The following is a 27,349-nucleotide window of genomic DNA, read 5'->3' on the forward strand; positions in this document are numbered from 1 at the left end:
TTTATAATTCATAAAATCTATCTTATGATTGTCATCATAAGTGCAATTTGTTTTTTGCCCCATTCTACCTCAGAAACTAAGTATCTGGGCATCAATAACAATTGGTAGTAGTGTTTGCTGCTAAGCCAAGTTTCACCAGTACAGTGTGGAATTATTTTATTGTTTTTTCTGTGAACATTGTATCTGCTGTTACTAGGTTATTGTGAGGTATTGGGCCTTCATAGAAATTGCCTGGAACCCTTGTTCACTAAAGCCTGTTACACTTTTTATTCTCTGTGCGTGTAATCAGAGACTTATTGATACTGACACATTCAAGGGGCATTATTGATCATTTAGATTGCTCTAAGACCTAAGGAGTCTTGGCCGGATGCGGTGCCTCACGCCTGTAATCCCAGCACTATGGGAGGCCGAGGCGGGTGGATCACCTGAGGTCAGGAGTTCGAGATCAGCCTGGCCAACATGGTGAAACCCCGTCTCTACTAAAAATGCGAAAATTAGCTGGGCATGGTGGCAGGCGCCTGTAATTCCAGCTACTCGGGAGGCTGAGACAGGAGAATCGCCTGAACCCGGGAGGCAGAGGTTGCAGTGAGCCAAGACTGTGCCATTGCATTCCAGCCTGGGTAACAGAGCGAGACTCCATCTCAAAAAAAAAAAAAAAACGAAAAACAAAAACCTAAGGAGTCTTTTCTCCTTATTTTACAATAAATTCCTTTTGATTTTGTGTAAAAACTTGAAACTGTTTATGAATGTAAAATAACATTTGAATACTTTTCTTGTGCCAGATATTAGGTTAAATGCTTTATGTGAATTTTCATTTGATTCTCACAACTTTTGAGTTAGGTAGTTATTTTTCTCATTTTACAGATGAAATGGAGGGTTAGGAACTCGTAGGTAGTAGATGCTGAAGCTGAGATTTGGGCCTGGGTCTTTTCACTACTGTGCCAGAATCATTTGGGAGGGAGTAAAAACTCAAGCCTTTGGAAAATATGATGACATAAAATTGTCCTTTATATTGAGAAGCTTCCATAGTTACCAGTGTCCTTCACAGGGTTGATCGGAAAGACATACATGTTAGTGATGATGATAATGATGAAGATAATCATTATTACCACAGGTACTTCCTATAATATAAGCATCTTTCAAATTGTATGAGAACTTTCATAGAACATCTGAGTAAATGAACAGTACAGTGTGCATGAAACCACTAAGCAAACCAAGGGAAGTTAATTTTCTTTATATGAATTGTAAACATGTCTCTAGATATCCTTTATCAGATTCCACCATGCGTAAGTAGTGTCTAAGTTGCCCCATATTTAGAGTTTTTCAATGAGGTTGTGTTCCTACTTAGAATCCTAAAGTTCAGCTATAACAGATATATTAATAAAATCTGTGGAATCTTTAATTGAGCATAATGGTGGCTGTTATTTTAACTTGAGGCTTTTTGTTGAGCTGGATTGGAAGTGCAACTTATTAGAAATTACAGTGTATTTATTCCTATTTCTTGTTCTTTATGTGAGAGAAGATATACTTTAGTAGACTGAATACTTCAGAGCTGTATCTCATTTACCAATAAAATGTGAAAACAGTGGTAAATTCCTTCACTTGGGCTACCATTGTACAGGCCTATTTTAATGGTATAGTTTGATATCCTTAATGTTAAAAGCAATATAGCTTAAAGAGGCTGGTAAATTAGAATTTTCCAATATCCTCAGCTTTTTTTCCTCTCACAGTTAATTTGCTCTGCTGACTCCCTACGCGAGGTGGCAACAGCTGGCCCTTTTACTGGAGCTTGTGGGGATTAGAGAGTCGGGCTCGCAGCAGCGTGCTCGGCCTCTTGCCTCTGTTGACTGTTCTTTATTGTTTGATGCCTGAGCATCTCCCAGACAGCGAGCAATTGTTTCTGGAAACTTAAAGTTTGTTTCTCTTGGGAGTAGACAATGCTTTTGGGGCTTGTCTTTGTGTTTCTTCACTTTCCCAGTCTCCTCTTATCCTTCATCCTGTGCTTTCTCTTGATAATTAGAAAGGAGCAAAGATACCACCTTTTTATTTAGGTCTGCATGAGATTCTAAAACTTAGAAGTATAGGCTATAGATGAAAGTTTCTTTTTTCAGTAAGCCACCTCAGTAACAAATCATGTTTTAAATGAAAACTTTGTTCTTCATAATATCATTTAGTGAGAGAAAACAAATGCATGAGTGCATTTTTGAAATTATGGTACTAAAAGGGAGCAGCAGCAAGGTGACCTAATACTGCCATTTTAAAAGCTAGGATTAGAAATGTATCATAACTGCTTAAATCTAAAAAGATTCTTTCACTGAATCCAAAATATAGTTCTAATTTATAGGATAGTTATAAGAAATCTCTATGCCATGTGGAAACATGAATAAAAAGTAGTCAGAACATAGCTAAATAGAACCCTGAGGTAGGCAGAATGATTTTATTCTTCACATTTAGAAAAGAAAACATCAAGGTACCCTGGAACTTAATTTCTACAGTGACTTCACATTCCGACACTTCTCCCATACCTGCCATACCCTTGAGTGTTGTTACGGATGAGAATATCGTCTGTGAAGTAGTATGAGATGGAAATTTTCCTAGAAAGATTATTGTACTCGGAATTTGGAACTGAAAAGTGTAGAAAGGGGAAGTGATGTGTTTAAAACTGTTTGCGGAGGTGGGGCTCTGCCATGTGTATTTTGACAAAGCTACACAGGTGATTCTTGCCATCCCCGATTACCGTGTACCCGCCTGCCCCTGAGCTGGCACTCCAAAGAGTTCTTTCAGTGCATAGCAAGACAATTTTTCATGCTATTAATTGGGATAAAATTGACATACATTCATTTGTAGAGTCTGAGACACAACGTCACTTTGGAAAATTTGGTGAGCAATTTGAACTGCATCTGCACTGGTGTGTTCTTTTTGTTTCTGTAGACTTAACCAAAGAAAATGAACTTTAAAGGGACTTTAAAGGCATCTGCACTGGTGTGTTCTTTTTGTTTCTGTAGACTTAACCAAAGAAAATGAATTTTAAAGGAAGAGAGGGTGATACCAAGTTGTAGAATTCTAGGTATGTAGGTTCAGAGGAGATTTTTTTTTTTTAAGAAAAAAAAAAAAAAAAAAAAAAACACCCAATCAAGAAGAATAGAGCAGGGTGTCCCGAAGAGAACGTGTGAGCTCGAAGCATCCCGGCAGCATCTTTCATATCTCAGTACTGTTGCTCTGTTTCTTGGGCTCACAACACCATTTCCTCTCTCCTGGCTTTTAACACATCTCGAGGCAACCTTTTCCCTTTCTTTTTATGCACTTCTCTCACTGCGTCTCTTCTATATCATCATCACTTCAACCTAACCCAGTATTTTTATCCCACCTGCTTATTTACCTTCCTTCAGTGACTAAAAACCTTACTCAGATACTGCCAGTGTTGTTTAATTGAGCAGAATAGAGGCTTCTCACTATAGGCAACTGTAAATCAATGAAAATAACCATTTAAAGAAGAAAAACATTTTCATGTCTATCACGGTCGATCCCTTCTGCCAAAGTGATTTGGTTCATTCATAAATTCCCCATACCTCGTGTGTTACATATTGTACTGTACACATTTACTGAATGTTCGATTGTGATCTTGTAATACAGACTGTTCATTAGCCCCCTTCTCTTGACTTAAAAAGTTGGGGGGAACTAACTCTTTTCATCCCAAGGAAACTTTCTTCTACTCTGTCTTGCCAGAAAGTTACTGCTCATTTCTCTTGTAGAGCAGCTTGCCTGTGTGGCATTCACTCCTGTTCTGCCCACTCCCTTCCTAATATCGTGCAGTCTGGCTTTCATCTATATCAAAACCACTTATTGATAGATCACCAATGATTTCCTAATGCCAGTCTACCCAGTTCACCAGGAAACTTTAATAACTTTTTATGTTTATTAGGAATTTTTAAGTTCATTGGAATACATTCAAGTACTTTTTGGAATGATTATATGATGTAGAAATGTGTATGTTTGAGAGACAGAAAAATTGATTTTTTTTTCCTCTTCACTACAGAATAAATAATGTATTTGTTTTATGGTAGCAATACTTGAACTCTTTAAGGCATCTTTTCATGGTAAATCTGGCAATTTTAAAAATCTGGGCTTTGTAAAATAATTTTTTTTATAGTAAGGCAGTTAACACATTAAAGCAACTAGGAAAGATAGTGAAGAATTATTTTTACCTTGAGTCTGTATAGATGAAGTAGGCTCTGCTTTGTGTTGGAACAGAACAAACAAACAAAAAAACCTGAGTTGATACAAAGATAAAGTAATCCTCAAGGAAAGTCCTCTCTGTTAGAGAAGTGGTTATTTACACACAGAATTCCACATGACAACGCCTGAGTGGTGTGGTTTCCAGGTTATTGATGAGAAAATCGAGACTCAAAATGGGTCTTTTAGAATGAAGTACATTTTTCATGGCCTAAGTCTGTCTTTAAAAGTCACCGTTGTGGCCGGGTGTGGTGGCTCACGCCTGTAATCCCAGCACTTTAGGAGGCCAAGGTGGGCGGATCACAAGGTCAGGAGATCCAGACCATCCTGGCTAACACAGTGAAACCCCGTCTCTACTAAAAATACAAAAAATTTAGCCAGGCGTGGTGGCGGGCGCCTGTAGTCCCAGCTGCTGGGGAGGCTGAGGCAGGAGAATGGCGTGAACCTGGGAGGCGGAGCTTGCGGTGAGCCGAGATCGCGCCACTGCACTCCAGCCTGGGTGACAGAGCAAGACTCGTCTCAAAAAAAAAAAAAAAAAAAAAAAAAGTCACTGTTGAAGAATATCAATAAATTAGTACAAGCGTAAAAGAACATTTTCTTTTCTATAATATTATACATGCTGCTGGTAATCAACACTTTACTAGCAAGTATATTCTTTTGCTTTAAACTCAAGTTTTAACTGATTAAGAATAAAGACAAGAATGTTCTCTACAATAATGTATGGATTGAATTTGCCATTTATCATTTTAATGTAGGTTTTACTTATATACTATTGTGAAAATACTCTTAATGTATTCAAAAGGCCAGTGCACAATTTTTTTTTCTTTTACTTCTTTTTTTTTTTTTTTTTTCTTTAGAAAGAGTGTCACTTGCTGCCCAGGCTAGAGTGCAGTGGTGTGATCATGGCTCACTGCAGCCTTGAACTCCTGGGCTCAAGTGATCTAATACCTTTAAAGTTGGGAATAAACTTTATCTTAAGCGTTTTTATTTTTAAATTATGTTTTTGCATATTTGATAGAAAAAGTAGAATGTAGTAATTGAAAACCTAATCACAAAACAATTCATTGGACTCTGCAACAGTATATAAAAAATAAAATTAAACGAGATAGGAAATCTTAAGGGATTGGTGGATTGATGCACATGAAACTGGTAACCTCTGTTAAGTACAGTTCTCCAGGTAGTTGGAGAAATTAGTTAAATGTGAAGAGAATTTTAATTTTGCACTATTTTGTACATTTCTAAACTGTGTCTCCCACAGCCCTTCTCCCCCAGTGAGCACGATTCAGAATTACTTTGAAATGTTGTAGTCTTAATTATCCTATTCATGGAAATGACGAAGCTAATACACGATGTGCTCTATCTTAAAAGTAACAGATATTTTCCCAAGTAACCTACTGCTGGTTGTGATGCTGAGGGACATTTCATGGGACTGCATGGTCGTTGCTCATCGTGATACCATCCTCAGTGGTTGGGGGATTCACAGTGAATTCTCATATCCTGTAACTATGCATCATGGATCTATCATCTGAAAATAAATCAAAATCTTTGTTGAACTCACAGTTTCCACACTTGTATCACCCATTTAAGATTGTTTCATTGTTACCTCCTGTGTACAGAATATTTCATTTCAATTTCTCTTAGAACAGCTCATTCATCTATTCTCTAGTTTCAATATTCTGAGCAGTAGAAGTTTGCTGTTTTGATTAACTTCAGTTAGATCTCTTTTCTGGGCCAAGAATTAAAGCCATTTTATCTTTAGTCTCTCCTTTTGTTGGCACTGCTTCATAGACTGTGTCATATATACAGATCTGTCTTTAGACTGATCTTTACCAAAGTACACTACTGGAATTTGAGGGTTTTTTTTTTTAACATCCTTTTCATTATGAGAGAGCTAGTGTATATGCATTGTGGGAAATTAGAAACTATAGATGGCAAAATTTTAAAAAATAATTGCCACCACCCAGAGATTGCACTGTAGTTTAAGACACTTTTGAATGTGGTCCTAGGGACATAATTTCTGGAACACATTTTTCGTGAAGAGGTCTCAGGTTGGCTTCTTATACCCACAGCTCGTTGTCATTGCCCCTAGTTTTAATTTCCCATCGCTCAGTGGGCTAGATTTTTTTTCATTTTCTTCATATAAACTTATTTCAGAAATGTTCATTAAGAGGAATAAGCAGCATTAGTAAAAATGAAACCTATGGTACCCATTACTTTATATAGTTCAAGTATTCTGGAAGCCATATTGTAGCATAGCATGTACTGAAAATCACTCTCCTTTGAACAGTAATCCCATACCTGTATTTGGGACCTGGCCTTCCTTTGTGTGCTTGTGTATTCATTATATCCCCTTTCTCTCTTCAAAGATGCTCAAGTCATTCTCATCTTAAAACTAATGGGTTGAACCTTCCATGCAGTCTAGTAGCTACTGTGAACTCTAATCTCTATTACAAAGGTTAGCTCTTTGAGTCTCACTTCTACTGAAGTTGTTTTTTTTTCCCAAGATTACTGAAAATTTAAGAGAAAATAATGGCCCAGGCATGCATTCAGGACTAGAAAATACTTCCATGTACAGAAAACCAAACACCACATGTTCTCACTCATAAGTGGGAATTGAACATTGAGAACACATGGACACAGGGAGGGGAACAGCATACGCCAGGGCCTGTTGGGGCGTGGGGGGCGAGGGGAGGGAACTTAGAGGACTTAAGTGCAGCAGACCACCATGGCACACGTATACCTGTGTAGCCTGCACATTCTGCACATAGAGCCCGCTTTTGTTTTTGTTTTTGTTTTTAAGAAGAAATAACGGGGAAAAAAAAGGTTTCAAAACTCATAAAGAAAGAGAAAGAGAGGGAGGGAGGGAGGGAAGAAAATGCTTCCATGTAACTGCATCATTTGGTACTTTGGAGTCCATATCCTACTTGAAACTCTAGGATCTGGCCCTCACATTTATGTAGTGCTTTATTTTACAGTTTACAAAACTTCTGCTTGTCCATGTGTGTCTGTAAAGTCATATGAGGCATTATGCCCATTGTTCAGATAGAGAAATTAACGTTCATTGACATAAATGGTTAAGCCCATTATGTAAATATTTATGGCAAAGCTGGGGCTAATCATATGTGTTACAGATAGGACTTTTTTTAAAGAATTGTTTAGGTATTCTGTTCATCATTAGTCTCTGGGTTTGTGTTTGTGGTAACCATAGACAACCAAGTTCATATAATTTGGCTTCTTTTTTATGTGATTTTTGATACGTGTTAAGGATCTATAACAATGAATTTGCCTCCTAAAGAGGTACATAATGTTTTCATTCCTCCAAAAAGATAATTCTAGGTTTATAAATCTATGTATGCTCAGTGCCAGTTGAATTTTGTGATTGTTCAATAGAAAAGAAATTGTGACTTAAAGGTGATTTTCCAGTTTAATGGAATAAATGAAATTAGTTTAGAAGTTATTTTTATTTTTCTGAGCCTGATTCTCACTCAGTTGTGATAAACAGCACCTCTGTAAGATAAACTCGGTGATAAACCGAGAACTTCTGAAATCAGCCTAACATGAATACCTGTTCTTCTTGTGCTAAGTTTCATAATGCTTTATCCTAATACACCATTTTTTTAAGAAATGGAACTTGTATTTCATTTTTGCTTTCATCTCACCTAATTCATAATTTTATTAAAACCTACGATTTTTAATTTCTTTTTTTATGAATTTTTAGTTTGGTGTATAAATCAGAATTACATTCTCTGATCTTTTACTTTTAAAATTACAGTGATGAACTGACTGTTTAAGAATCATTCTCATGATTCATTCGTCTGTTATGCCTCCTTTTTAAAGCTTCAGCACTGAAGGTCTTTTGACAAACCAATATTTATAACAGTTTGACAGCAGGATGAGGAACAGCGTTTGTCTTTGTAACAGCTTGAAGAAAGACCCTTTCCAGGACCCAGTCATGCAGTTACAATCTTGACCTCTTTCTTATGCTGGGAACATGCATACAGCAGCACCTCCCATGTGTTTTCTTGTCCCATTGACTGTCCATTCACTTCCCATCTGTTTTGCAGTCTTAAAGGAACAGAAGGGGCCTTCTTATAAATCTGTCTTTGCAGGTGATAAATGATGCCTACCTCTTTAAGAGCTGCCTGGGTGGTTTTCCTTTTCTTAGAACATTTCTGCTTTCCTCCTAACTAAATCAGGGAAAAATACAATTTTAGGAATAAGAGAAAAAGAAGAAAAGATGAATTTTTAAAGCATTTAATTGACTAAGAATATTTTACTGATCTTTTTTAATCTTCCCAATTAATTGCCTAAATCATATTTTTTAAAATGTATTATCGATATTTAGATTTTTGTCAGGGAGTAAAATGAATGTATTCATTTTGAAATAATGTAACTCTTTTTTGAGAAAACAAAGCCATGTATCATTAATGAGTTAACATATAAAATAACTTTTTAAGTTTTTTGTGATAATTTAAGTGTGGAGCATCTTATGTATTGGATACAAAAGTAAAATATTTCAGAGTAAATCATTGTAATCTTATGGTAAAATCTATTCATTTTTTACATTTAAAAAGATGATCATAAATCCCATAAACATTTATGCTTTTACTTCTGTTGCTGAAAATAAGTATTGTAGGAATAGATATTGATATCATTGGGTTTTCTAAGAATTCAGCAGAAATAAAAATAATTTACTTTTTCTCCCATGCAGAAATTATTTATGCAAGGTTTTATGTAACAAATATTGTCCCTCTATGGCCCTGCAGAATATTCTTAAATTACTGATTTAAAAACTATTACCAGTATAAAATGACCACTTTTAGAATATTGTGGTGTATTATGTGAATCAGCTGGCTAATAATATATCTTCTGTGGACTAGCTTGTTAGTTTGTTTATTAATTCCCTGGCATATTCCAAAAGGAATTTGAGGCAGCTTACATATATCCTACGCAAAAGATAAAACTACTTAAGTGAAAAATTTGGGTTGAAAGAAAAGGAAAATCCAGGCAAGTGAAATAAAGTAAACTTTCAGATAAAATTGGTGCCCCTCAAAGTGCATGCTCAAGGGTTCTACGTACAGGCAGACCTCATTGTATTGCATGTCACTTTATTGCACTTCACAGTTATTGCATTTTTAACAATAGAAGTTTTGTGGCAACCCTGCATTGAACAAGCCTGTTGGCACTATTTTCCCAACAGCCATGTGCTCACCTCATGTCACTGTCACATTTTGGTAATTCTTGCAATATTTCAAATTTTTCCATTATTATTCTGTCTGTCATGGTGATCTTTGATGTTTGTATTGTAGCTATTTTGGGTACCACTAACTGTGCCCATATTAGTCAGTGACCTTAATCAGTAAACGTGTGTATTCTGGCTGTTCCACCAACTAGACATTCCCTGTCTCTCTCCTCCTCTTCAGGCCTCCCTATTCCATAGGACACAACAATATTGAAATTTGGCCAGCTAATAACCCTACAATGGCCTCTACATGTTCAAGTGAAAGAAAGAGTGCCATATTTCACTTTAAATCAACAACTAGAAATGATTAAGCTTAGTAAAGGAGGTTTGTTGAAAGCCAAAATGGGCTATTAGCCAAATTGTGAATGCAAAAGAAAAGTTCTTGAAGGAAATTAAAAGTGTTATTCCAGTGAACACACGAATGATAAAGCAGAACAGCCTTATTGCCTGAGACGCAGGAAGTTTCACTGGTCTGGATAGAAGATCAAACCAGCCATAACATTCCCTTAAGCTAAAACCTAATCCAGAGCAAGTTCCTAACTCTATTCAATTCTCCGAAAGCTGAGAGGTGAGGAAGCTGCAGAATAAAATTTGAAGCTAGCAAAGTTTGGTTCATAAGGTTTAAGAGGAAAAAAGCCATTCTGCAACATGAAAGTGCAAGGTGCTGATGTAGCAGCTGCAGCAAGTTATCAAGAATATCTAACTAAGATAATTGATGAAGGTGATTATACTAAACAACAGATTCTTGATGCAGATGAAGTAGCTGTCTATTGGAAGACGATGCCATCTAGTAATTTAATAGCTAGAGAGAAGTCAATGCCCAGCTTCGAGGCTTCGAAAGAGAGGCTATCCCCTCATTTTGGGTGCCAATGCAGCAGGTGCCTTTAAGTTGAAGCCAACCTAAAGAATTTACCATTCTGAAAATCCTAGGGCCCTTAAGGATTATGCTAAGTCTATCCTGCTTGTTTTCTAAAAGTGGAACAAAAAGCCTGGATGACAGCACATCTGTTTACAGCATGGTTTACTGAATATTATAACTCTCGAGACCTGCTCAGAAAAGTTTTCTTTCAAAATATTACTGCTCATTGACAATGCATCTGGTCAAGCAAGAGTTCTGAGGGAGATGTACAAGGAGATTTATGTTGTTTTTGTGCCTGCTAGCACAACATCCATTCTGCAGCCCATGGATCAAGGAATACTTTCAACCTTGAAGTCTTATTATTTTAAAAATACGTGTCTTAAGGCCCTAGCTGCCATAGATAGTGATTCCTCTGATGGATTTAGGAGAAAAAAAAAGGAAAAGCTTCTGGAAAGGACTCACCATTTTAGATGCTGTTAAGACCATTCAGGATTCATGGGAGGAGGTCAGAATGTCACCATTAACAGTTTGGAAGAAGTTGATTCCAACCCTCATGGATGACTTTGAAGAGTTTGGGACTTAAGAGGAGGAAGTAACTGCAGATATGGTAGAGACAGCAATAGAACTAGAATTAGTTCTGTTGTAATATGATAAAACTTGAACAGATGAAACATTGCTTTTTATGGACAAGCAAAGAAAGTGGTTTCTTTTTTCTTTTTTTTTTTTTTGGCAGTCTCAGTTTGAAGAAAGTGGTTTCTTGAGATGGAATCTGTTCCTGGTGAAGATGCTGTGAACATTGTTGAAATGGCAGTAAAGGATTTAGAATATTACATAAACTTAGTAGATAAAGCAGCTGCAGGGTTTGAGAAGATAGTGTCCCAATTTTTAAAGAAGAAAAATTTGAGTAAATTTGGGTAAAATTTACCCAAAATTACCTATTGTGGGTAAAATGCTATCAGACAGCATCACATCCTACTGTGAAATCTTTCATGAAAGGAAGAATCAATCAGTGCAGCAAACTACAATTGTTGTCTTATTTTAAGAAATTGCCATAGCCACCGTAACCTGCAACAGCCACCACCCTGATCAGTCAGCAGCCATCAACGTCAGGGCCAGACCCTCCACCAGCAAAAAGATTATGACTTGCTGAAGGCTCAGGTGATCCTTAGCATTTGTTAGCAATAAAGTACTTTTAAATAAGTTATGTACATTGTCTTTTTAGACATAATGCTATTACACACTTAATATATTACAGTATACTGTAAACGTAACTTAAACGCACCGGAAAACCAAAAAACCTTATGTGACTCACTTTATTGTGATATACGCTTTATTGTGGCAGTCTAGAACCAAACTTGCATATCTCCCAAGTATGCTGGGACTTTGCTAGAGGTAAGCTGCAAATTTAGCCCTCAGTTTCCTGGTGGCTGGCAGTTACAAAATGGAAAGCAGAGGTCATTCCATCATTCATGGTGGCCATCAGACAACAACACAGCAGTTGCTTAGGAGAAGCATGGGTCTTCTTCGTACGCACAACTGAGAGAAATTTCCCTTAAAGTGGACACTGAGTTAGATGATACAATGAATCTAATGGCTACACATAATCATGAAAATCATGGGGCCCTTTATTGTAATGTTTCTCATGCGGGCTAACATGCGTAGTTCTAGGGAAAATATGATGCTGTCCAAACATACAGCTATTTGGTTTGGCTTATCTAAAGATAAAATACATAGTATCCAGAGAAATAGATGAACTGTATGTCCTCCATACAGTCTCCCATAAATATTATTTCTTTTTGCAGCTGATCCTTTTAGTAAATATCAGGTAGCCAGAAGTTCAAGATTTTACACTCATTGACATTGACAAGCACCTGGAATGGTACTACCTTTTTTTTTTTTTTTTTTTTTTGAGACAGAGTCTTGCTCTGTCACCCAGGCTGGAGTGCAGTGGCATGATCTTGGCTCACTACAACCTCCGCCTCCTGGATTCAAGTGATTCTCCTGCCTCAGCCTCCCAGGTAGCTGGGATTACAGGCGCCCGCCACTACGCCCGGCTAATTTTTGTATTTTTAGTAGAGATGGGTTTTCGCCATGTTGGCCAGGGTGATCTTGAACTCCTGACCTCATGTGATCCACCCGCCTCGGCCTCCCAAAGTGCTGGGATTACAGGCGTGAGCCACTGCGCCCAGCCAAGTACTATTTTTATTAGTTAAGTCAGAGCCATAATCATTATAACTGAGCTGAAATTAGAATTGCCATCCACTTAAGAAAGTTGAGTGGTCTAACAAGTATAAAAGCCTAAATATAAGGCTAATTCATGTTCATACTGAAGCCTTTTGGGGAATAGGCCTTAAAATATGTAGAAAGTATTTGAAGCGGTTTTAATTGTACTAGCCAAAAGGAGCCTAGTAGAAATGCTTGTGTTATAAGAGTTTATTTTTTAAAAAGCTGAATTTATCTGACCAGGCGCGGTGGTTCACGCCTGTAATCCCAGCACTTTGGGAGGCCAAGGCAGGTGGATCACGAGGTCAGGAGTTTGAGACCAGCCTAGCCAATATGGTGAAACCCCATCACTACTAAAAATACAAAAAAATTGGCCAGGCATGGTGATGCCTGCCTGTAGTCCCAGCTACTCCGGAGGCTGAGGCAGAAGAATCATTTGAAACCGGGAGGCGGAGGTTGCAGTGAGCCGAGATTGCGCCACTGCACTCCAGCCTGGACGACAGAGCGAGACTCCATCTCAAAAAAAAAAAAAGCTGAATTTATCAACAAATTGCTGTGGAGTTTTTTATATATTCAGCAGGCATCAGTTGTAATTTACCTCACAGACTTTCTTAAGGTTGCTTTCTTTCTAAATTATACTTTATGGGGGTCACAAAATAGCAATTTTTAAATAATCACCTTTAATGATTAAGTATTGTTTAAGTCAGATCACTCAACTATGAATGCATGAATATTCATGGACATCTATTACATAGCAAGCAGTGCTATGCTGGGCCGAGTGATTTTAAATGACAGACTTTTTGGTAAGTAGAGAATTTACCCAAGCAGTCCTTGCTGTTCTCCACATTAATGCTCAGAAAAAATACATTATAAAAATGATCTTTCCAAAATGAATTATGAAGCCCCATGAGAATGATATGGCAATTTGTGGTTACATATTTTACTAGAGGATTAATATCCAATAAATAAAAAGATACTAAGGAATAAACAAAAAAAATTTAAAAGATGAAGTATATAATGAATTAGAACAATACATTTTAATCATAAGTTTTAAATTAGTGTGGACTTTGAATTCTCCTGGACAGATTCCTTCATTTTATAGATAAAGCTAGGACTGTGACTTATCCAGTTATGAGGTTAACGGCGAATACAACATTGTCATATATTTTAAATGACACACATTACAACATGTTCTCTGCTTTATAAAAATCATATCAAATAATTGCCCCATAGATTATTAAAGGTGTTAGACTAGGGATTCTTAAAAAAAATTTTCATCAAATGTTTCTTTCATTATTAATCCCATGAAGTCCATGTTACAGAAGATTTTGTCTACAACAGTGCAGTTACATTCTTCTCGTTAGAAATACAACCACCAGTTAGAGTTCCTAATCAGTATAAGGAAGTAGTTGTTAGGAGAGGGGATGGGTTTCTTGTCCAAATGAAGTTTTCCATTTGAGTTTTTGAAGTAGTGAAACTAACCCAGCGTTTACAGGCCCCAGAAATCTGGGAACCTCAGCTTTCAAAGTACTGTACCAGTCTTTAACAGTTTTCCTGGACGTGTGAATTGATGCCTCCTTCTGTAACATGCAGGAGTGTTCTGTCTGTCTTCATTGAGTGTTAAAAAATAATCATGCCTATTTCAAGGAAAAAATCTACAGAACTAAGATGCAGAAGATAAGTGCTAGATTTAATCATATTCCTTCATCTATCTGTTTGGTTCAACCTTTCATCAACTAAAAGATGCACCTTTTTTCTTGTGCTAACTCTAAGATTTTAGCTACAGTTTTGAGAATCTTGAGTGTAGTCTCTTGTTTACCTTTTTTCCTTTTTTTGTTTCCCCCACACCCTAGATTCATTTAAATACTGAACTTCTAAAGGGCAAGTATATAGTGTAGTTTAATAAAAAGCAAACCTTTTCATGAACAATATATATTACATAATAAGAAGCGTTCCTTTACTTTTCAGTACTCTAGTGAATAGCTTTCTACAGTAGAATCTCACTTAGAGGGTGTCTTAAAGCTTAACACCAAGTGCTCAGGCAGCATGTTATACAACAGTTCCATTAAGGTACATTTGGATCTTTGGATGTGTGGTTTGCTTAAAGTACACTGCATTAGTAAGTTGGCAGCTTGCTTTCTTTAAAAACATCAAAAGTTTTAAAAGGTTTATTTCAGGGCATGTGTTAGTGTTTTGTGTGTGGTTCTTTGTTCCTGTTCTAAACTGTTATTAACCACTGAAGTGAACCTTCTCCCGGGTTTGGCCTTTTGGTATTCACAGTGTATTCAAAACCTAATTACAGATTAGTCTATATTTGAGACTTTTAGAGCAAGTATCAGAAGACCCAAAAAGAAAATGAGAGTAGCAGTATCATTTCATGTAGAGATAAAGAGACCCAAAACATGAATGGGTGTCAAGTCAGCTGAAGAAAAGAAAAAAGAGAAGGAACTTCATTCACTGAGACGGTTTATGAGTTGGGGATTATGGGAATATTCATGACTCAATCAAGAAGCACAGTGAATTGATGTTTGAAATAGCTCATCTTTTAAGTAAACATTGGATAAATGGAAAGTAGACTCAGTATTCACTACACGTAGAAATAGCTATTTCTGTATAGCAGAAATAGCAGTTTGTTAATCCCTTCCTGAGTTGGTTTAATTTACCAAGTAAATCACAAATTTTATTCTTTATTTGTGAATATTTAATTCAAATATTTAATGGAAATATGAGTTTGCTTTATAATTAGTCATGCTGATCCATACACGTATTTCTGAGAGAAAGCAATTTCTAATGGTGAAATAGTTACAATAATATTTTTGAAATTTGAAAGCACCGTGATACTGAAGCATTAATCTGAAGGATCGGAAAGTAGGGAGTTTTTGTTGCCAACATTTAACTTCATTGTTTATGGATAACTTGGTTTTCTGGGCAGCCAGATGGCACAGTTAGTATACAGACATTCTTGGAAACTTGTATCAAAATTTAAAATGAATGAATTTATGAGAAATAATTCTGCTTATTATTTGTAATGTAGCTTTCTTGAAAAGCAAGAAATCGGAATGTAGTTTCTAAAGCTGCAAGTGAATATGTATACATAGCCAGCTCTTTCAGCCTTGATAATAAGGTGCAACCATTAAGATGAAGGGATTTTTTTTTCCCACTTGTGTTTTTGGGCCCGAGTATCCTGATCTGTGTTGCTTGTCTGGTTCAGGTGTGAGCCACCAGCTTTCTTTGACTTTCATTATCTATGTGTATCTTGCCTCCTGTTCCCAGGCTTGCTCTAGCTCTTCTGATCCTGTCTTCCTCCCTCTTGATCACTAGTGTAGTATTCATGAAGCCAGCTAAGTTAGTTTTTCCCTTTGAAAACCACAGCCCTTATCTTCTGTGCCATATTTTGGGCAACTTCGTTTATCATTGATTGACCGTACGCAGTGATCAGGCCTTGTTCTAGACACTGAAGACTCTGAGCATTTTTGGGCCCATTTTGTACTCCTGTATTGTTCTCCAGGGGCTTCTCCAAGTGTGCGTCAATTTAGTCTTCTCAAGAGGGCATCATTTTCATCAGAATATGATAGCATATTATGGAGTGTCCGGTCATCCTTAGGCATAGACTACTTAGGAGGTGTAACTGTTTTGTTCCCTGATTTTTACTGAAATGGGTCTTTTCTTTTTTTTTTTTTTTTTTTTTTTTTTTTTTTTTTTTTTTTTTTTTTTGAGACAGAGTCTCGCTATGTCACCAGGCTGGAGTGCAGTGGCATGATCTCAGCTCACTGCAACCTCCGCCTCCCGATTCTCCCTGAAATGCGTCTTATTTTAAGTCAAAGGTAATACTTAAAAAAGACCAAAGAGACTTAAAATAACAGCATTTGCTTCGTCACTATGAGCTTTGTTATTATGAGTTAACATACAGTAGCAGACTGGGTGTAGTAGCTCACGCCCTGTAATTCCAGCAGTTTGTGAAGCCGAGTGGGGAGGATTGCTTGAGGCCAAGACTTCGAGACCAGCCTGGGCAACATAGTGAGACCCCCATCTTGACAAAAAAAATTGTTTTAAATTAGCCAGGTGTGGTGCTGCATGCCTGTGGTCCCAGCTACTTGGAAGGCTAAGGTAGGAGAATCGCTTGAGCCTGGGAGGTCGAGGCTGTAGTGAGCCGTGTTTGCATCACTGCACTCCTGGGTGACAGTGCAAGACTCTGCGTCAGACAAACAAACATCGTAGCAGATGTGTTTCTTAATCAGAGAAGTGTAGACAAGGCTAACTCCAGGCTTTAATGTCCTCATATTTAGCAATGATACCTGCAAGGTTGTATGAGAACCAAATGAAACGCCAAATTTGGAAATACATAGTAGATACATCATAGCAGAGTAAGCCAGGAATGCTTCTCAAAGGTAGGATATCATCTGTGTCCTCATATCACTTTATGAAGTACATTGTGAAAGTGAAAGAACAAAGAAATAAATGTTTTTTAGTTAATGTTTAAAGGATACATTTATCATAATTGCTCTTTTAACACTCACCTCCAGTCTCCCCTCCGTTCACACCTCCTACCCCCATTACTTCCTGGTAACTTAGTTAAGTGTCCTTTGTCATTCCTGAGGTTTCAAGGCATGGTAGTACTGTGTCCTGATATTCTAATCGTAAATATTTAAGGGAAATTCGGCATTTTTTCATTTTGTGGTTTTCATATTAAAGTACATTAAATAGTCTTTTTGCTTTTATTTAGGAAAAAAACTGCTTACCTGTTAATTTTAGAAAAATCTGATTTTCATTTAGACCTTACAGGGTGAGACACCTGCATCAGGGTGGCTCTTGGTATCTTTCAATTCAATTGGATCTTCTCTGAATAGTCTCTTGTAGGGAGTGAGGCTGCTGTACCACCTCCCTGCAGTAGTCCATCCAGCTTAAGATGGGGGTCACCAGTAGGCCAAAAGAATGGGTAGACCTGGCCATGCACTGCCCTATTGTACTCAAATCGTGTATCAAATGGAGTTGGATTTCTTCTCTTCATACAGTACAGCATTTCCAAGTAGAAATATTTCTCAATGAAATGTGGAGAGAAGCACCCGTTTGAGATTCCCGTGTGTTGTGTGATTTAAGTTAGATGGTTTTTTAAGACCACATTCATTTCCAGCATTCTAGGTAACAATTTAGAAAATGTCTTTCTCCTAACCTCCCCACTTTTTAAAAATCCTCCAACTGATGAACTGATGTGAAACTTTCTTACATTCACTGAAAAAAAAAAAAAATAGGTTAAGCTGTTTCTAAGCAACTAGATGAATTAATTTTTAAACTAAGAATGTGGCCTTATTTTGGGAAAACAAGAATATTTACTTGTTTGTCTGCTGTTTAAAAAATGGAAGTCAGCCTACCAAAAAATTGAGACTCAACTTCTAGGAGATGGGTTAGGATTTTTTTTTTTAAGTTTCTCTAGTTTAATTTTATATATAAGGGGTTAATGCTACCTTCATAATAACTATTATCATATTTTCTCAATACATAGCTTGATTAAAACAACTGGACTCCCCCCCCACCCCACCCCACACACACACAGATTTTATATCAGTCTGAATCTAATGCCTAGAATAAGAAGTGCTTCAGCCAGGCATAGTGGCACTCACCTGTAGTCTCAGCTACTCAGGAGGCTGAGGCAGCAGGATCAATTGAGCCCAGGAGTCTGAGTCTAGCCTGGGCAACATAGTGAGACCTAGAAGTTTTAAATTACTGGAAAAATAATATGAAAAGAATAAATTACTGGAAAAAGAATATGAAAATGTTACGTTCTTTATATCCAACCGTGGTAGGCTTTTTTGAGTTCCTGCAATGCTAATAAGAATTCATAAAAAGGACAATTCTTCATTTTCTTGGGTACTCATCACTAATAGCTGCCTCGCTGGTAAAAAGGAATACATGTATCTTCAATTGCAGATTATTTACTTTTAAATATAAAAGATATAAATGTCAAATATTAAATGCATCTTACATGGTTTTCCTACATAGTGAAAGTAGAATGCTTGCCAGTTTTGCCTCTAGGTCACTCACTTTGAACCAGCCAACCCACCTTAATTGATCATTTCCACTAATATGTTAAATTACCTTAAAAGAACAAAAATATTTATCATGCTTACTATAACCTGTGTTTTAAAATAGGAGGCCAGGCACAGTGGCTCACACCTGTAATCCCAGGACTTTGGGAGGCCAAGGCAGGAGGATCACTTGAGCCCAGGTGTTCAGGACCAGCCTGGGCAACAAAGTGAGATCCTATCTCCACAAAAAAATTAAAAATAAAAACTTAGCCAGGCGTGGTGGCACGTGCCTGTGGTCTTAGCTACGTGGGAGGCCAAGGCGGGAGGATCACCTGAGCTCAGGAGGTTGAGGCTGCAGTAAGCCCTGCCAACACCACTGCACGCCAACCTGGGCGACAGAGTAGGACCCCCATCTCAGAATATAAAATAAAGTAGGAGGTGCATGTGAAGTAGTATAGATCATGACTTTTCCAATTTTAAGAGGGGATTGGCATGTACTATGAGCAGTTCACATTTGTGGAGGAAATCTACATTTCAGAGAGTATATATTTCATTTGGAAGTCTATAAACATGAAAACCTAAAATAAATAATGTAAATCTACCTCTAGTGGCTCTGGTATTTTTAAACTTATTTATAGCTGGCAAAGTACTTTTTTGTATGTATTTTTATAGCACCATTGCACTTCTCATGTTTGTTGCAAGCATCTCCCACAGCTTCCTTTGTCTTTTAATTTTATGACATATAAATAAAAGTATACATTTCAATATGGCCATATTGATTGATCTTTTCCTTTGTAACTCTTACTACTTTATATTTAAAAAGTCATTTCCCAGTCTAAGGCCACCTCTATTTTCTTTTAGTTTTTTAAAATGGTTTCATTGTTTTATATTTGCCTATGATCCAGACATTAGTAACTGTGGGTTCTTAATTGGGCTTCAGAGAATCTGAGAATTCCTTAAAATTCTCTACATAATTGTACATGTACTTAATACATGCTTTTTTCCATGTTAAGAGTCCAGAGTTTTTGTTAGATCCTCAAAGGGGTCAGTCAGTCTCTCCTCCCACTTCCAAAAAATGTCTGAGACCTACTACTATAATCCATCTGGACTTTATTTGGGTAAAAGGTGGTATGGTGAGACTCATATTTTTCTTTTTCCCGCAAATAGTTAAGTATACCAACCATTTAGTAAATAATTACCTCCTGATTTGTGATACCTTTGAAAAATAAATGTTTTTCTTTATTTTTATCTCCACAGAGAAAGTTAGAGAAATTCAAGAAAAACTTGATGCTTTCATTGAAGCTCTTCATCAGGAGAAATAAATTAAGTGAGTAAAAATTCTCTAACTGTATTGGTGCTGACTAAATACAAAATTACACTTTTCTTAATAGTTTATCATTCTGCTTCATTTACATCCTGCTTGTCACTTATGCTGTAATTTCAATGGCATGAATCTCTGAAACTAGCTTCCGAATTTCATTTGTATAACGTTGCTTTGAATAACTTGATTGCCTTCTGGCTGAATTAAGAATATCCTCTAGAACTCATTTTGAATAGAACAAAGGTGAACACAGAGCTAAGATATTGTATAATATGCAGGTGACTCATTTTCTAGGTGTAAAGAATTGAGCTGTAGTTGACATTACTTTATTCTTCTTGCCTATAGTCTATCAATAATGATGTGTATGTTAAATATTTAACTTAGAAAGTTTTCTGTTTGACTTAATTAAAATTTTAATAATTGTTCTTAATCCTTATCTCTTTTGTTTAAAAACATTTAGATAAGTGTTTTTCCTACTTAATTTATATAGCCTTAGAATTTAGTACTCCTTGAATTTACTTTCTTGTCTGATTCTGCTTTCTGGCATTAGAGGCATGTTCCTAATAAAATACATATTTAAGGACTTTTCCTTAGTAGCATAATCAATTAATTGTTGCTGAAGAATTTTAATCAGTAAGTCACTTGCTTGAGAGGAGACCTCGCTCTGCCACCCAGGCTGGAGTGCAGTAGTGCAATCACTGTTCACTGCAGCCTCAACCTCCTGGGCTCAAGCAGTCCTCCCACATCAGCCTCTCAAGGAACTGGGGCCACAGGCTCATGCCACCATGCCCAGCTAATTTCTTTAATTTTTTGTAGAGATGGGGTTTCACCCCGTTGTCCAGGCTGGCATTTGCTTTTATAAAAGAAGTTGAGGAAAGAAAAATACTGTAGTTAAGTCATTATCACTTCAAATATTTTGTCACTTTTGTCTGTGACCCTTACCCTACAGACAGCCTGCAGCAGGCTCAGAACTAGAAGGAGTAGAAATGTAAAAGGTTCCCTCCCTGGCTACGCTCGGTTCAGGTCAGTTCAGAAAAGGCTCTTAAACCAAACTACCTACTTTCCTGTCAGGAAAATGTATTTGAGAAAGCAGGGTGGAAAGGGAAGTACAACTTCCATGGTACATCATTCGGAACAGTGTGCCAGCAAAGGAGGAGAGAAACAAGACCTAGAAAACTTGAAAATAAAGCTTTGTAACTTTATTTCATTTGTTTCTTTAGTAAGTTAAGACAGGCCAGTGCGGTGGCTCACTCCTGTAATCCCAGCACTTAGGGAGACCAAGGCGGGCGGATCACTTGAGGTCAGGAGTTGGAGACCAGCCTGACCAACATGGTGAAACCCCGTCTCTAATAAAAATACAAAAATTGCCCAGGTGTGCTGGCACATGCCTGTAATCCCAGCTACTCGGGAGCCTGAGTCAGGAGAATCACTTGAACCTGGAAGGTAGTGGTTGCAGTAAGCAGAAATCGTGCCACTGCACTCCAGCCTGGGCGACAGAGCGAGACTCTTGTCTCAAAAAAAAAGTGAAGACAGATATATGGAAATATACAAAAATACATAATCATCTTTAACACAAGCTAAACATAATTTTTGTGTTTTATAAGTGTCCGTGTTCATAAATGTTTTCTATGTCTTTTGTGTATGAATATTTTATTTTAAAACCATTAAGTGTTACAATATCACCCTAATCATGGTGGTTACCGTGAATACTTACTATTAGAAATAAACATCTGTAGCGCCTCCTTGATCTCCCCTTTAGCACCAGAGCTTACATCATAGTTCTATTTACTGACCTGTGTGTGCTTTGCGGGGAAAAATTGATGAAAGCCCCGGAAGCCCCGTTAAAAAGACAAGCTGTATTTCTGTTTTTTTAACAAAATGAGGAAGCTGAAAGCCAGCCAGTGTTTTACATAATGGTGTCTCTCCCCTCAGCTGATCAGTGTGACATCCAGAGTTGCTGTTGCTGCTACCTGTCTAGTCTCTAAGACCCTTTTCAACCCTTGTGACTTAAGACTCTGTGAACTTTTACAAAGTATCTTGTGATCTGGACAGATGATCTGTTTTGTACCCTGCAGATGCATTTAAAAGAATAAATCTGGCAGAATGGTAACCTTGCTTCATTCTGACCATTTTATCAAAGTTACCAAGGACCCTAAGGAATACTTTCTCAAGTATAGTTTTAACACATAGGATTCCTAATTAATTGTTATTCTAATATTTGCTGAAGGTGTTTATATGCTATACAGTCATACACAGATTCTTCTTCAATTAATTTTAGTATATGCTTTTAACTTATGTTTGATAAAAAAATTATGCCAATATTGTTAGGTCGGTGATAGACTATATAAGTTTAGTAAAACTAGCAAAGGTAAGCGGTTAGGCTTCAACATTGTTGTGATCATGCAGTCATCAACTTTGTTTAGAAATTTTGCATTTATCTCCCCTGACCTCAGTTTGTTAAATGGGTTTATTTTTACAGAATCGTACTCATAATCAGCTCTGCATACATCTGAAGAACAAAAACATCAACGTCTTTTGTCCAGCCTCTTTTTCTTCTGCTGTTCCACCTTTCTAAACATACAATAAAGTCATGGGATAAAAATAATCGATGTATGTTACGGGCGCTTTAACCATCAGCTGCCTCTCGAATGGAAGAACAGTGGTAATGGATTAACATCCTATTTTGTTGTACTAAAGTGACAAATCGGAATAATATAATTGGTATGGCCATTAGGTTCAGTCCTTGAAGATAAGAAACTTGTTCTCTGTTTGTTGTCTTATTTGTGGTGGCACTCGTTTAATGGATTAACTGAGGTTGCTCAATGTTCAGTTTCTTTTCCAGAAATACAATGCTAGGTGTTTTGAAATAAAACTTATATAGCAATTGTTTAAAGTTATCAATTGTATATAAAATCACAGTAGCCTGCTAAATCATTGTATGTGTCTGTAGTATTCTATTCCCAGAAACTATTTGACCATGATAATTCAGTTTATATTCACCACATGAAAGAAAAATGGGTAACAGAAGAACCCTTAAAACAGGTTAATTTGGATTGTAACGTTCAGTGAAAGAAATTTCAACCCTTCATAGCCAGCGAAGAAATTTGCCTTGGAAGCCAAGTCAGTACCAGCTTACCTATTTGATTCAGTTGCTGTTTTCTCACTCTCTATATCCATTTGAAATTGATTTATTTTAGATGTTGTATACTTACGTTAGGCTTTCTGTTAATAGTGGTTTTTCTCCTGTTGACAGAGCCACCGGATTATGACACAGGATGAGGAAGATTAAGGATAATCAATTGACTAATTTCATTTAGAATATTATCAAACATTTCAACTAGGTATCAGAAAAAGGCTTTCTTTCATAAGACTATTTTAAATAGAAATTATTTCAACAATTAAAGTAATGTTGACCATCCCCCTCTCAGCTGAATAAAGAAAAATTTAGTTCAATTTATTGCAATTTAATTACAATACTACCTTCACAACATTTTCATGTGTTTTAAATAAATATTTTTTAATTGGCTAAAGGACATTCAAGCAAAGAAATGCTTTCTTTACTTAAAATGTCTATCTCATTTGCTGCCTTTTCACTAAGCCTTTACTTTGTTAATAAAAGTGTCCATTGTGTGATGTTTTTGATTTTACAGTTTGCTAAATCTTATTTTCTTGGAGTTGCTTTTTGGTAACAGCCCCATTGCTACTCCCCATTTTATTGTTTTACATCAATGCATGCTTCGTTGTGATCCCTCAAGATGTAACACTTGGTATGCTCGGTTGAGGATATGAAAAAATACTTCCGAAACCAGGAATTCAATGTATGTTTGTTTTATACTGTTTGATAAGAAAAGTAGGTCCAGCCTTAAGCAGCACAGATGCGCTGGTAGATGCATAGTCAGGAACTTTTTTTATTTCTTTTAGGTCTAGGGACAGGAGTGAATAGAAAGGGAGGAGAGCTCTATTATGTTCTATACACAGATTAGGAGATGACCTTACTGGGTACACCCCTCTAACCAGTGCTTACAGGTTAATGCATGTTAATGAATATTTTTGCAGTTGTAAAGCATAACAATTACAACTACACATCTATTTCTAAAGAATAAAACAGGACCATATTTATTTACTTCTGTCAACTATAGAAAGAAAGACCTTCAGCTGTATTTCCACAGATTTCTCCCAAGGAAAAGGCTAATATTAGTCACTACTGTTATCACATCCCTTTGTATAAGTTTTAAAAAGAGATGGAGGGAGATCTTCATTTCTTTGAGGAGATCAGTATTGTAACGTATGTGAATAGATGATAACAATTAATATTACTAAAAGTCCCACATGAGAGTCCTGACGCCCTCTCCATGCCCCACAGTAATGTGGCTTCTTTCATGGGTTTTTTTTTCTTCTTTTTAGCTGATCTCATCCTAAGCATGCTTTATTTTTCCTTGAAAGCTAGGTATTTATCAACTGCAGATGTTATTGAAAGAAAATAAAATTCAGTCTCAAGAGTAAACCCTGTGTCTTGTGTCTGTAGTTCAAAAGTCAGAAATGATTCTAATTTAAACAAAAAGATACTAAATATACAGAAGTTAAATTCGAACTAGCCACAGAATCATTTGTTTTTATGTCAGAATTTGCAAAGAGTGGAGTGGACAAAGCTCTGTATGGAAGACTGAACAACTGTAAATAGATGATATCCAAACTTAATTTGGCTAGGACTTCAATTTTAAAAATCAGTGTACCTAGGCAGTGCACAGCACGAAATAAGTGGCCCTTGCAGCTTCCCCGTTTAACCCACTGTGCTATAGTTGCGGGTGGAACAGTCAACCTTTCTAGTAGTTTATGATATTGCCCTCTTTGTATTCCCATTTTCTACAGTTTTTTCCGCAGACTTCTTTCTGCAAATTATTCAGCCTCCAAATGCAAATGAATGATATAAAAATAAGTAGGGAACATGGCAGAGAGTGGTGCTTCCCAGCCTCACAATGTGGGAATTTGACATAGGATGAGAGTCAGAGTATAGGTTTAAAAGATAAAATCTTTAGTTAATAATTTTGTATTTATTTATTCTAGATGTATGTATCTGAGGAAAGAAATCTGGTATTTTTGCTTTCCAATAAAGGGGATCAAAGTAATGGTTTTTCTCTCAGTTCTCTAAGCTGGTCTATGTTATAGCTCTAGCAGTATGGAAATGTGCTTTAAAATATGCTTACCTTTTGAATGATCATGGCTATATGTTGTTGAGATATTTGAAACTTACCTTGTTTTCACTTGTGCACTGTGAATGAACTTTGTATTATTTTTTTAAAACCTTCACATTACGTGTAGATATTATTGCAACTTATATTTTGCCTGAGCTTGATCAAAGGTCATTTGTGTAGATGAGTAATTAAAAAATATTTAAATCACATTATAATTCTATTATTGGAGAGCATCTTTTAAATTTTTTTCTGTTTTAACGAGGGAAAGAGAAACCTGTATACCTAGGGTCATTATTTGACCCCATAGTATAACCAGATTCATGGTCTAACAAGCTCTCAGTGTGGCTTTTCTCTGAATGCTTGAATTTCACATGCCTTGCATTTCACAGTTGTACTCCATGGTCAACCGGTGCTTTTTTTCACATCGTGGTACTTGTCAAAACATTTTGTTATTTTCCTTGGTAAAATATATAAAAAAGGTTTTCTAATTTCACTTTGCTGCCAAGGCTGTCATTTTCATTAATGCTGCCAACATGTTCATATGAGGCTTACTAAGAAGTTATAACTAAGCTTTAGAACTGGAAGAGACTTTAATTTCATCTACCATCTGATTATAAACTCCTGTTACTCACTTTGTTATTCCTCCAGAACTTTGCTCATAAATGATACCTACTAATTGTCGATCATTGGATATGTCAAGTTAGGTAGCGTATAGGTGTGCCTTCTTAATTCCTTCAGAAGATGCAGAGGCAAGAACATGTTTCAATCGTGTTAGCATTGGTTTTCTTTATCAGTGCTAACAGACTCAGTGTGAGGCCCCATACTTTATTTTAAACTAGGTTTTCATCCTTGTGTAATTCAAGTTCAGAATCTTCGTGTATCAAAACGTTTGAAGAATTTAGTTACTGAAGATTTAATAGAGCAATTAATTTTTTTAGCATGTCTGATTGAAGAATTAATATATTTATCAAATTGAAATAGCTACCATGTGCCTATAGATAATACAGATGTATTTAATTATGAAGTACGTCTTAAAATAACCACATACCCGATTTGTGATAACTAAAACAATCATGTCCTGCACATATTAGACCCAGTTAATAAGTGTAGAAAACTTAAGTGTTCAAACAAATACTACAAAAATTGTTAAAGGTTCAAAACCAGGAGACAGTATCAGGAAGGCTTAAATATGGGTGATCTCTAGCTGGAAGAAGACAGCTTCTAAAACTAAGGGTAGGAAAAACCTATATCATAAGGCATTTGTTTAAATTTATATCCTAAAATGACAGAATTGAGCTTGAAAATTGAGAGTATGTATGTGATTCCTCTCCAAGACTTCTCGTGAGTTACGTACATATTCTGCAGAAGCCGCGTTAAGGTGCATTTGTGGCCAAGTCACTGACAAGGAGGTAAATACTACTTATAAATGCTGTTAAATGAAAATCTTTTTTTTTTTTTTTTTTTTTTTTTGAGTTGGAGTCTTGCTCTGTCGCCCAGGCTGGAGTGCAGTGGCGCGATCTCAGCTCACTGCAAGCTCCACCTCCCGGGTTCAGGCCATTCTCCTGCCTCAGCCTCCCGAGTAGCTGGGACTACAGGCACCTGCCACCATGCCTGGCTAATTTTTTGTATTTTTAGTAGAGATGGGGTTTCCCCATGTTAGCCAGGATGGTCTCAATCTCCTGACCTCGTGATCCACCCGCCTCGGCCTCCCAAAGTGCTGGGATCACAGGCGTGATTGTTACTCTTTGTGATAAAAAATTCTTGTTCCTGCTGTTAGTACTTTTAATTCATTAACCCAGGTGTAAACTGTTCCTTTCCAAGTATTTGGGAAATTCAGAGATCTGTTTTTGAAAAAACTAGGCCAGAGGCACCCCTGAAGATCTAGTCACAGTGCAGTGATACTGCCAGCAGCCCCCCACAGAGATATGTCTTACGGCTGTATTAAGAATATAAGTTACACTCTTTAATGTTCAGAACAGAATACTCATTCTGCTGCTTACTCTTGTAGTTATTAAATCACAGAGCAACAATACGGAAGTTAGAATTTTATCCATTTGTCAGAAAATATGCTCATGGTTTATGTGACCTAATACTTTCCAAAAGCTCTTGAGACCTCTGATATTTGTGAGAGAATATGTAGGGAATAGGTTAACCTCCTTTTTTTGCTTTGGTAAACTTCATCTGAGATTAGGCCAAATCATCAGAAAGCAATACTGCCTGGGCTGCTACTTACCTACCTCTTTGATATTACGTCCT

The 27,349-nt window shown here is 36.8% G+C and overlaps 1 protein-coding gene and 1 long non-coding RNA gene across 21 annotated transcripts in view, besides 1 other annotated feature; one reads left to right on the forward strand and one right to left on the reverse strand.

The window, feature by feature from the left end:
- The window catches only part of LOC102724808 (uncharacterized), a 35,845-nt gene extending 24,971 nt beyond the window's left edge, over positions 1 to 10,874 (reverse strand). For both annotated transcript variants that reach the window (XR_924835.3, XR_924836.3), the window contains exons 1-2: positions 10,797 to 10,874; positions 5,629 to 5,758 (exon numbers count right to left, since the gene is read on the reverse strand). This is a non-coding gene — a long non-coding RNA (uncharacterized LOC102724808). The remainder of the gene's footprint in view (positions 1 to 5,628; positions 5,759 to 10,796) is intronic.
- OPA1 (OPA1 mitochondrial dynamin like GTPase) overlaps positions 1 to 25,586 on the forward strand; it is a 104,604-nt gene extending 79,018 nt beyond the window's left edge. For 11 of the 19 annotated variants that reach the window (NM_001354664.2, NM_001354663.2, NM_130837.3 and 8 more), the window contains 2 exons: positions 19,838 to 19,907; positions 22,381 to 25,586. In NM_001354664.2, the coding sequence (NP_001341593.1) occupies positions 19,838 to 19,902 (65 nt within the window). In that variant the 3' untranslated portion in view covers positions 19,903 to 19,907; positions 22,381 to 25,586. Of the gene's footprint in view, positions 1 to 5,601; positions 5,787 to 19,837; positions 19,908 to 22,380 lie in introns of those variants that run through there. The other 8 variants (XM_047448212.1, XM_047448206.1, XM_047448208.1 and 5 more) reach the window with 1 other exon arrangement.
- Positions 8,101 to 8,301: a silencer, noted in NCBI's record as "peak4976 fragment used in MPRA reporter construct". NCBI's record gives its function as "represses an SCP1 promoter by STARR-seq MPRAs in K562 erythroleukemia cells {active_cell/tissue: K562}" and the evidence as "EXISTENCE:reporter gene assay evidence [ECO:0000049][PMID:32103011]".

The sequence above is a fragment of the Homo sapiens genome, chromosome 3 (assembly GCF_000001405.40).
Source record: "Homo sapiens chromosome 3, GRCh38.p14 Primary Assembly".
NCBI lineage: Eukaryota > Metazoa > Chordata > Mammalia > Primates > Hominidae > Homo > Homo sapiens.